The sequence below is a fragment of the Homo sapiens genome, chromosome 9, assembly GCF_000001405.40.
Source record: "Homo sapiens chromosome 9, GRCh38.p14 Primary Assembly".
Classification (NCBI taxonomy): domain Eukaryota; kingdom Metazoa; phylum Chordata; class Mammalia; order Primates; family Hominidae; genus Homo; species Homo sapiens.
The window spans coordinates 105,360,922-105,372,986 of NC_000009.12; the positions used below are offsets into that span (position 1 = coordinate 105,360,922).

At 39.1% G+C, this 12,065-nt stretch overlaps 1 protein-coding gene across 8 annotated transcripts in view; it reads left to right on the forward strand.

Annotated features, from left to right (window-relative positions):
• Positions 1 to 12,065, forward strand: part of SLC44A1 (solute carrier family 44 member 1) — a 193,854-nt gene that overhangs the window by 116,271 nt on the left and 65,518 nt on the right. For all 8 annotated transcript variants that reach the window (NM_001330731.2, NM_080546.5, NM_001286730.2 and 5 more), the window contains 5 exons: positions 270 to 409; positions 1,900 to 2,086; positions 3,634 to 3,799; positions 4,562 to 4,718; positions 5,425 to 5,508. In NM_001330731.2, coding sequence (NP_001317660.1) covers positions 270 to 409; positions 1,900 to 2,086; positions 3,634 to 3,799; positions 4,562 to 4,718; positions 5,425 to 5,508 — 734 coding nt within the window. The remainder of the gene's footprint in view (positions 1 to 269; positions 410 to 1,899; positions 2,087 to 3,633; positions 3,800 to 4,561; positions 4,719 to 5,424; positions 5,509 to 12,065) is intronic.

Below are 12,065 nucleotides of genomic sequence, written 5' to 3' on the forward strand. Positions count from 1 at the left end.
AGCTTCATAGTCAATAATAAATACATTTGAAGGAAGCTTATTTGATACACTGAAGGATTTATAAATGCTTAATGTGGAGGATGATAATAGAGCAATGGACACTTTCTTTATGCTGGCAAAAAGTTATAGCTATGTACTTCCCAGCCAAATGGATTGTCACTGCATTAGTCCCATGATGATCTGTAGGAAGGGTCAAGAAAATTGAGAATTTATGTTACACATTTTCTTATCCTAATTATTGCATTAACAGTTGGGTCTTTTGTCTCCAGGAGGCACAGGTGTACTATGGTGGCTGTATGCAAAGCAAAGAAGGTCTCCCAAAGAAACTGTTACTCCTGAGCAGCTTCAGATAGCTGAAGACAATCTTCGGGCCCTCCTCATTTATGCCATTTCAGCTACAGTGTTCACAGTGAGTTTAGGCTTTGGCGTGTCTTTCGGTTTTGTGTTTTTGTTTGCAGGAGATCATTAATGGAGCAGAAACTCAAATCTAGCTTTTGCATTCCTAACCCTGATCTCCAGTAGATAATATCTCTGTGCCATAGTGTATGAAACACTAAAAAGTCTCTTGAAGGCTTCCCTCATGGATGAGTGCTATTTGATGAAACATTTTTTCTACCCTGTCTGCTTTTTGAGAGAGGATTTTCACCTAGAATATTTACATTACCATTTGCTTACAAGAACATATTTCTTATTGTCATAAGATAATTACTTTTTAAAAATGGTTCCCTTTACTGTAGAAAAGTATGTTAAAAAATATATCATTCCATTTACTTGTTTGCTAATTATCTTCCCATTTGTCTTTCAAACTTTTCATTTAACTTTATGGCGTTATTTCAAAAATATAGGTGTGGTCAGGTACAGTGGCTTATGCCTATAATGCAAGCACTTTGGGAGACTGAAGTGGGAGGATCACTTGAGCCCACGAGTTCTAGACCAACCTGGGCAAGATAGTGAGACCCTGTCTTCACAAAAAATTAAAATCAGCTGAGCATGCTGGTGTGCACCTGTGGTCCCAGCTACTCGGGAGGCAGAGGTGGGAGGGTCACCTGAGCCATGATTGTGTCACTGCATTACAGCCTAGGCAACTGAGTGAGACCTTGTCTCCAAAATATATATGTGTGTTTGTGTGTGCGTGTGTGTGCGCGCGCGCGCGTGTGTGTGTGTGTGTGTGAGATTTGCTGCTTAGGTATTAAGCAATAAAATTACCAATTAACATGTGGTTAAATAATTTATATGTATACCTTTGGTTCATCATCGTCTTCTCTCTGAAAAAAGAAAAAAAATCAGTCTACTTCTAAGAGCAATCCCAAGCTTTTTATTGAGCATCAGAAACAAAAAATAAAGCCATCATAAAACCATTGGTGCCAAAAGATATTTGTTAGTTATTGTTATACAGATATTACAACAAAATATGAATGAAATCTCATTTTAGGTACAATTTGCTGTGCCAGCTGCTGAAGATGGGATGTGGGGGTGGGAGGAGGCAAAGGGTGAATCTGACACAGATCCCACTTTTAAGGAGCTGTTGGTCTAATAAGGAAGATACAAATAAAAACCTCGTTTTTGTGGTGTATCTGTTTAAATAAATAAAGAGTCTCATCCTGACTGACAGTATGTTTTGGTTCATAATGAGTGGCAAAGGGAAAAGGAAAAAAATTCTAGAATGTATTAATAAGTTGAGAAATCCTTTTATGTTTTGCTTTAAAGGTCACTTGGTAACCATAATATAAAATTGACAATAAATATTGCAAGAGAGATACTTACTGATAAAGTATTATTGAAATTCAAAGAATGCTACCTCCAGGTTTGGGGCTGAAGGGTTATGTTAAAAATTTCTACTATTTTCGGTTTCTGTTTTCACTACTTATAATAATAACTGAAACCATTCTCTCCATACAGGTGATCTTATTCCTGATAATGTTGGTTATGCGCAAACGTGTTGCTCTTACCATCGCCTTGTTCCACGTAGCTGGCAAGGTCTTCATTCACTTGCCACTGCTAGTCTTCCAACCCTTCTGGACTTTCTTTGCTCTTGTCTTGTTTTGGGTGTACTGGATCATGACACTTCTTTTTCTTGGCACTACCGGTAAGAAGATAAGCTTCTTTCTCTTAGTGACAAACGTGATTTGCATTCCAGTATTTTAGAACATCAGAGAGAGGTAATTCTTCAGACATTTGTTGATGAAGGTCCAATAGCCATCAGAACTTGTAGTGGTTATGGCTCCTCAACAACCTACTTCATATTCGTCTTTTTTTTTTGAGACAGAGTCTTGCTCTGTCACCCAGGCTGGAGTGAAGTGGTGCTCTCTTGGCTCACTGCAACCTCCGCCTCCCGGGTTCAAGTGATTCTTCTGCCTCAGCCTCCTGAGTAGCTGGGACTACAGGCACATGCCACCATGCCTGGCTAATTTTTGTATTTTTAGTAGAGACAGGGTTTCACCATATTGGCCAGGCTGGTCTCGAACTCCTGACCTCATGATCAGGTCAGGACGCCTGCCTTGGCCTCCCAAAGTGTTGGGATTATAGGCGTGAGCCACCGCACCTGGCCTTTTATTTTTTTTGAGACAGAGTGTCTCTCTGTCACACAAACTGGAGTGCAGTGGTGTGATCTCAGCTCACTGCAACCTCAGCCTCCCAGGTTTAAGCGATTCTCCTGCCTCAGCCTCCCGAGCAGCTGGCACTACAGGTATGCACCACCATGCCTGGCTAATTTTTGTATCTTTAGTAGAGACAGGGTTTCTCCATGTTGCCCAGGCTGCTCTCCAACTCCTGGCCTCATGTGATCCATCCACCTCGGCCTCCCAAAGTGCTGGGATTACAGGCGTGAGCCAGCGTGCCCAGCCCATATTCATGATTTTTTAGAACATCCTAGCAATGTAAGTCTAGATCAGGGAAGGCCTGAAATTGCACTCTAATTTTGAAATGATCATGAATTTGAAGTAAGTTCCAATACTGACTCAGACATTTAGATTCATTCTAAGATGAACCAGTGAATGCAATGTCACTCAGGAGTTACCTCAAATCCCAGGTATAGCCAAGGATCTACTTACTTCCTTGGGATTTTCTGGTTTCGAAATGATCTGACCCTAGCTAGAGCTCCAACTGATGATATAGTTCATAGTTAGACACTCAGACTTTCTTACAGCCGTACTGAGTATCAAAGGTTAAGCTTAAATGGAACTAATTGTAAAGAGTATCATAAGGATAGTAAACTTTTATGTAACTATGTAACTTATCTGTCCATTCAGCACACACACTTAGCAACTGAATATAATAATAATTTCTGTACTTTGCTAAGAAATCTGTAATGATTGGATAAATAATAGGCCTTGAAAAAAACTGAAGTGTTTGAAAATTCATGCTTAAATAATTGATAATATAAGAAGAGTTTTATTAAATATAACAACTTTTAAAAGCTTTATATGATGCCTTTGAGGACATCAAAATGCATAATAGTACAATTCTTAATTTCACAACTTTTCAAGTGATAGTTATTTTTGTCCCTTTATGAAATACCACACAGATCAGAAGGTTTGTGGCTTGGGGTAGGGACCTATTGCCTTCTACTTAACTGCCGTATTTCTGGATTTGTACTTTATGTGCTTCTTCTTTCCTTCCTTGATATTTTCCTAGGCAGTCCTGTTCAGAATGAGCAAGGCTTTGTGGAGTTCAAAATTTCTGGGCCTCTGCAGTACATGTGGTGGTACCATGTGGTGGGCCTGATTTGGATCAGTGAATTTATTCTAGCATGTCAGCAGATGACAGTGGCAGGAGCTGTGGTAACATACTATTTTACTAGGTAAGAATATGTTGTTATTAGAAAACTCGAGTTCATCTAAGGGATGGTGTCCGCAGGCTGGAGGGGAAGGGAATCAGACTGGGGCTGGCAGGAGTTTCATTTCTTTAACAAAAGAATTAGAAATGAATATGACAGAGTGTTATATATAGTTGATAATTCTGGGAGGTGGTCAAATGAGAGATTGTTGTTTTATTCTTTATACTTTTCTGCAGTTGTCTCATAAAATTTATTGCGATGTCACAAATTGTATTTAGCAGAAGAATAAATCTTATAGTGGTGCCATATGTACTTTTGCTTTATATAAAAGTCCATCAAAGGACAACAAGTCTTTTTAGTTTGTTTAGACCGGAACAAGTGTGAGTTCCCTTTGCTAACTTTAGAGCCAAATATGAAAGCTTTAGGTCTCATAATTTTCTATTATAATTAGATGCCAAGTCTAAATTTAACATCTTTTTAAATTCTGTTTTCTGATGACCCCATAAGTATTCACTAATAAAAGCTTTCAGAGCACAGTTTTATTTAACTTGAAGTATTAGAGCATCAGAACCCCATGAAACTACCATAGAGCAATGACATTAATTTTATATAGCATGTCTGTAGCATTTGTAATAGTTATATATCACTTGGCCATTTTGTCATAAAGCTAAAATAAGAATGATGAGCTGATTTTTTTTTTCACTGCGTTGGACTCTAAACCATACCTGTGTTTCCATCCTGATCTAGGCTTTGTTTTAATTGTCTTTTTGGTCATTTTTTAAATAGGGATAAAAGGAATTTGCCATTTACACCTATTTTGGCATCAGTAAATCGCCTTATTCGTTACCACCTAGGTACGGTGGCAAAAGGATCTTTCATTATCACATTAGTCAAAATTCCGCGAATGATCCTTATGTATATTCACAGTCAGCTCAAAGGAAAGGTAAGGGGAAAATGCATTTCTGTACTTTCTGTGGGCACATTCCAGACCTCAGTTCTGCATGTAGTAAAGCACCCAATAATGTTAAATACAAAGTTGTGTTTTCTTCAAAGTCTTTACAAGGCAAAATCCAGCCCTTCTCCCTTGTCTCCCACTCATGCACTCCATATGCTCTGGCAAAATTCATCCAGTCACTAGTAACTAAAAGTATCCTGTGCTGCTCTTCCTCTCTGTTGACTCACATACCTTCCTCCTTAGAACTTCTTCCCTTCCTTGACTGTGGGAATAACATGCACTTCAACTAGTTTAGCTCAAATTCTACTCCTTTGTAGAAACCTTTCCTGATTCCTCCCATCTCCCAAACAATGCTGTCTCTTTGTTCTCCACTCTCATAACACTTAGTATCTATACTATATTCTGATTCTAACCTTTTTTGTGTTTGGTATTTTTTTTCTCCTACTAGATTGTAAGTTCCTTGCAGGTGTTATAAACTTCACTGTATATGCAGTAGAGACTAAATAAATATTTAATTGAACTTATTAAAAATAATTCAGTCATTATGTTTTAAGGAGAAAGTGGACAAGTATGGAGGCTTTGAAGCATAAATTGTGATTTTTAAATTTTTATTTATTTTTCTAACGTTTGAAGTCTTCTATGTGACAGTTTGATTCTTTGGTTTTTTTATTATTTCCATTTTTCCCCCATCCAGGAAAATGCTTGTGCACGATGTGTGCTGAAATCTTGCATTTGTTGCCTTTGGTGTCTTGAAAAGTGCCTAAATTATTTAAATCAGGTAAAATATTTTAAAAATAAATCTAATATTTACTTTCAAAGATAGGTTCATTGTTTCTTCTCCCAAGATAAACTTAATTGAAAGATGTTATGTTTTTCTTGTGGTATTGTACATTGTGCCTTGATAAAGTATGTCTATTTCAATCATATTCTTATTTTTTAAATTAATGTATATGCTTACCAAGGCTCATTATTATTTTAATTTTTTCCAACTTTTAGGTTTAGGGAGTACATGTACAGATTTGTTACATATGTTATTATTTTTATTTTAATAAATAGATAAAACATCACTCTGGTTCGTCTTTCAGGAAAAACATTTATCTCTCATCCCTTAATTCACATTCCTTCATTTTTTAAGTTTTTCCTAAGAATCTGACTACTGTGGCTATGATTACCCTTTCATTTTTAAAAATGTTGTTTGAAAACTTCAGTGTAAAGCTGTTGTGACACTTTATCCCTCTTTGCAACTAGCTACTATCATTCGAACTAGTGTGCTCTCTATGCTGATACTTTTTTTTTTTTTGACCCAACTGCTAAACACTATGATATTGGCCTGGGAAATATTATCAAAGGAAGTACTACTTAATAAGGTTGAATGGAAGAATTGATATTTATAGGATAAAAGGGCCTAGGTGAATGGGTTAGTCCTCTATCTTTCTATATCTGAGGATCTGGGAGTCTCTGTGGGGCACTCCTTCCTTCTTTTCTTTATTTTTTTAAGTTACTTTTCCATTCCCTAAAAATCAATTCTAATGTATTAATGCCCTCATCTAATAGGCCAGAGATAAAATTGACTTTCTCACCATTTACTGCTAAGTGATTGAAGAGTAGCATTGCACTTTCCATTCACTCCAAGATAGTCACAGGTTGATAGTTCTATGCCCATGGTATTGAGCATGCCTGGACTTTGCTTTATTGGGTTCTATGGTTAATATGAGAAAGTAGGTATGATGTTTCATTAGCAAAATACATTCTTATAGGTCATAATATTCCCTATGGATGTACAAGTGTTTGGAAGCTCATTCTTAAAATAATTTGTAAGGCCATAACAACCTGAAAAATTGTGTTCTTTAAAATTGGTTTGAGGCCAAGTCATCTTTATCAGAAAGGTAATGGATACACTAAAGATGATCATAATTGCATTTTTATACCCATCACTAAATAGCTTATCCTCGGAGAGATGTGCTAAGCCCAGATCTCTAGTCTCAATCCTACTGCCGTACCCCCAGGCACCTTTTGCTTTTGCAGTTTTCCAAATGTGCCTGGAATCTGACTAGTTCCTACTGAACCTTAATGATTCTGCCTGAGCGTCACCTCCAAGAAGCCATCCCTCTTCACCCCAGCCCCTCTGCTGAGCTTCTAACTCAGCAGAGTTAGAAGCTGAGGTCATACCTTAGTATTCAAATACTAACAACACTATATCGAAGTTATCTGTTAACTTTACCTTTAAACTTCTAGCTCCTTTAAAGTTCTTCTTTTTCTTGGTCTCCTCAGAAGCTAGCACAGTGCCCAGTATACAATAGGTGGTCCTTAAGTGTTTTCTGAATGAACTGTTAATTATATTAGTGAATATTTAGACTCAAAAAGACTAACAGGGTGATACAAAACTATAAAAATCCTGAAAAGGAGATGTGCAGTTATACTGAAGGAAGAAAACAAGTCATATGATATCAAGATAGTCGATAAAAGGTTAACAAATGGAAGGTTTTCAGCATATCCCAAGCTAAACATTAGTCAGTGATTTAGTACCAACAACCCTGAGATGTTGGTCTTTTTTTTTTTTTACAGATTTTGTCCATTTTGGATCAGCATTTCGTAGGCACGATGTTTGAAGTTTTAAGTGGAACATTAAAATAGTAGTAAATCAAACATGTGAGGAAAGGCTTAGGGAGAGGTGTTCTGAACTCATACTTTGTAGTTCTATTTGGGAATACAAAGTGCTACAATGTGGGGACTGATCACCTGCAGAGCTTCATGTCTCCTGGGCTCATAGGAAATGCCACACTTGAAATGTGGTCAACACAACTCTGTAAGGCTAGCATTATTTTCTCATCTGTTTCATAGATGAGAAAATTGAGACTGGCATCTTGTGGCAAATCACGAGACCTAAAGGTGGAAGAAGTTTTCAAATCATTTTGCCTTGCTCTTTCCAGTATATCACACTGCTGCCATTATATCACACTTATATACATATAAATATATATACATTTCTGAGTGGTGTAAGCAAACAAAAATATGGTTTATTATAGAAAATACGCACACATCTCAAATTGTAATGATTCATTCTGTAAACTACGACAATTATGTTTTTAAAGAAAATCTATTGAGGTCAGGCACGGTGGCTCACGCCTGTAATCCCAACACTTTTGGAGGCCGAGGCAGGTGGATCATTTGAGGTCAGGAGTTCGAGACCATCTTGGCCAACATGGTGAAACCCCATCTCTACTAAAAATACAAAAATTAGCCAGGTGTGCTGGCTCGTGCCTGTAGTCCCAGCTACTCCGGAGGCCGAGGCAGGAGAATCGCTTGAACCTGGGAGGTGGAGGTTGTAGTGAGCCGAGATTGAGCCATTGCATTCCAGCCTGGGCAACAGAGTGAGACTCTTTCAAGAAAAAAGAAAGAAAGCCTGTTGAAATTAAGATTTGCAACACACTTGTAATTTTTATGACCTTGAAAAAGTCTAAGAATTTAGAACAAAATTAGATAAAGCCTACAGTATGGGTTTGACTTTGTGCCCTGTCTTAATCTGTTCAGGCTTCTATAACAAAATACCATACACTAGGTGGCTTCTAAACAACAGAAATTTATTTTTCATAGTTATGTAGTTGATGAGAACTATTCCAATAGTTCTAGAGGCTGGGAAATCCAAGAACAAGGCACCAGCAAATTCAGTGGTTTGTGCGGGCCTGTTTCCTGGTTCAGAGATGGTGCTTTCTTGCTGTGACTTCACATGGTGGAAGAGACAAAACAGCTCTTTGGGGTATTTTTTTAAATAAGGGCACTAATCCATTCATGAGAGTAGAGCCCTCATGACCTAATCACCTCCTGAAGACCCTACCTACTAATACCATTACCTTGCTGACTATGTTTCAACATACCAACTTTGAGAAGACACAAACATTCAGACCATAGCATTCCCCTTCTCTCCTTTGCCTCAAATAAGAAAGGAATAATTGTAATTACCCTTTCATTTCTTTAATTTATACGAATCCACACAGAACTGCACATACCCTATATTCCCTTAGCATTATTGTGTAGCTTGCCCCTATTAAGTGAGTCATTATGTGAATATTTTAAACTTTAAGAGAATTTCTGGGTCCTTCACTAGAGAAAGGAAAGAAGATGTGAAAATGAAGAAGTTGTATTCTGGGACAGATGGCCACACAGGCCTGTTCCATGCATGGTGACCCTCTGCCCTAACATATTTTCTTTCACATGATCAGTACTTTTTAACTATATCCCATCACACAAAAGTACAACCAGGGATTGCGTAGGCTAACAGGCATCCTTTAAAAAGATTCCTGGATGGTGGTCATCCTTCACCTTGCTCCTGGGGGTTGAATATTCTCAAGCTTGTGTCCTGCCCAAGCAAATGTTGAGCGTGGGCTAAATGTTAATCAGTGATGTCTGTCTGTGGGCAGTTTAACTCCAGATAAGGAAGGCTGTCTGAGAAGGTGGGTGGACTCTAAAAATCTCAACCAAGAAGTCTGAAGAAAGCTCAGAGAATAGTTATCAGGGAAAGCCACAAAGGACTCCGAAATTCTTAAGAACTTAAGCAAGAATTATTTTAGACTAGGAAGTATAGAAAAGGAGGGAATTTTCATTTGCCTGCTGTGATCTGCAGCACATTTTTCTTCCTGAAGAGGTCATCTTGACCTTTGTGTATCCAGTTCATCTTCCTACCTTGGGAGTGAGTGAAAGAGCTTGCAAAATATCCACCTACTTTTTTTCAGTTGGGTTGAATACAAAGGAATTGCATAGATCCATAGAAATATTGCCTTTTAAAAGGCTAAATTTCTGGACATTCGACCCTCACAGAAATTTCTCAGAGGGGTGGAGAAAAGAAATTATTGCTGCTTATCTACCAACAAATAGACTTCTGCCCTAAAAGCAGATGGAATGGGGCAGGGTGGGGTGATAAGAAAGAAGCAAAAGAGGAATAATAATAATTCTCAAATGAAATGAAGCTTCTAAAAACTAATGAGGGAAACAAAAAAAGCTTTTATAGTTTAGTTTGGAAGTGTTGGGCATTCTCCTCGTGTAAGCTGGTCTGATGATAACAGAGGAGAGAGAATGGAGACGTGTGGGTCCTTTCTTGCTTCCGTCTCAAGGAAATTCATGGTAAACTGGAAAGGGCAGAACACTTTAGTTAAGAGTGAGTTGTTCCCATTGAGGGCGGGAGTGAACATAAGCTAGTACCTAGTTGATTTAAATGGGTTGTCCAATTTCCTTGATTCTAGACATTATGAAGCTATTTAGTATCAGGATGTATCTCATAATCAATATGTGTATTTAATATGGTAGGATATTTTCTCCCAAAAACTTGTTATGAATAACTGGCTCATTAGTCTCTTGATTATATCTTAGAATGTGGGAAATAAGGTATTTCTCTTCAAAGGAGTTATATCCCAGATCACTGAAGACCTTTGTCAATTAAATTGTTGAACTGAAGAATTACAGTGAAAGATGCTGAAAGATTGGAAGTTGTGGAGGAAGTTACTAAAACTTGAAATGAGCAAATGTGGTTTGTATTTCCAGTAAGAGGGTGGGTTCCACATACAGTAGATGAGTGAGTAGATGAGGTTGATATTAATCCTTGGCAGTACTCTAGAACAGGAGGTCAGCAAGCTTTCTCTGTGAGGGACCAGAGAGTAAATATTTTTGGCTTTGTGGGCCATACAGGATCTTTCACGACGGCACAGTTCCATCACCGTAGCATGAAAGCAGCCATAGACAATATGTAAACAATGAGCACAGTTATGTGCCAGTAAAACTTTATTTACAAAAGTAATTGGCAGGCCAGGTGCGGTGGCTCACGCCTGTAATCCCAGCACTTTGGGAGGCCAAGGAGGCCTTGTGGATCACAAGGCCAGGAGATCGAGACCATCCTAGCTAACACGGTGAAACCCCGTCTCTACTAAAAATACAAAAAATTAGCCGGGTGCCTGTAGTCCCAGCTACTCGGGAGGCTGAGGCAGGAGAATGGTGTGAACCCGGGAGGCAGAGCTTGCAGTGAGCTGAGATCGTGCCTCTGCACTTCAGCCTGGGCGACAGAGTGAGACTCCATCTCACAAAAAAAAAAAAAAAAAAAAAGTAATTGGCAGGCCAGATATGGCCTGCAGGTGGTAGGTTGACCACCCCTGCTATAGAATAAATTGTTAACTGGGTGTTTTGTGAGTACTTAGGGAACTGGTGTGAACTGGGAACCAATCTGTGTTCTTTCAGAATAGAACTGGCTGGGGCAGTTCTTCTTCATTGTTTTTCAGCAAGGTTAATGTTACACAAGATCAAAAGTGTAGTTTATTTTTACTTCATTGAGGCACTTGGCAGAGTATTTCAAAAGAAGCTTTTGTAGAAGATGGAAAAAAAACACTTGGACCACTGCAGTTAGGTAGTTAACTGTGTGGTGCCTGCTATCTTTTATCTGATAAGAAGCACTGACAGATGACAATATAAGGGAGCAAGAAGCAGGTGGATGCTAACAGAAACACTTAGTATGATTTCTTTAAGATGTTCTGTATTTTAGTTTTTGAGATAAAAAGACTTGCAAACATAATATAGTAATAATATTCTGATGATAACAAACTTCCCCAATTTGTATGATGGAATTCTATATATCAAAATCATACTGTATTTCTGTTTTGTTTTTCTTTTTTTGGAGATGGAGTCTCACTCTGTGGCCCAGGCTGGAGTGCAGTGGCACGATCTCAGCTCACTGCAACCTCCACCTCCCTGGTTCACGCAATTCTCCTGCCTCAGCCTCCGAGTAGCCGGGATTACAGGCGCATGCCAGCACGCCCGGCTAATTTTTTTGTATTTTCAGTTGAGACGGGGTTTCACCATGTTGGCCACACTGGTCTCAAACTCCTGACCTCAGGCAATCCACCTGCCTCGACCTCCCAAAGTGCTGGGATTACAAGCGTGAGCCACCACACCCGTCTTCATACTGTGTTTCTTAAAGAGCACCATAATTTATTTCCTATTGCCCCATTACTGAAAAAAGCTTAAGAACCACAGGTAGGCCGGGCGCGGTGGCTCACGCCTGTAATCCCAGCACTTTGGGAGGCCAAGGCGGGCGGATCACGAGGTCAGGAGATCGAGACCATCCCAGCTAAAACGGTGAAACCCCGTCTCTACTAAAAATACAAAAAATTAGCCGGGCGTAGTGGCGGGCGCCTGTAGTCCCAGCTACTTGGGAGGCTGAGGCAGGAGAATGGCGTGAACCCGGGAGGCGGAGCTTGCAGTGAGCCGAGATCCCGCCACTGCACTCCAGCCTGGGCGACAGAGCGAGACTCCGTCTCAAAAAAAAAAAAAAAAGAACCACAGGTAGTGACCTGC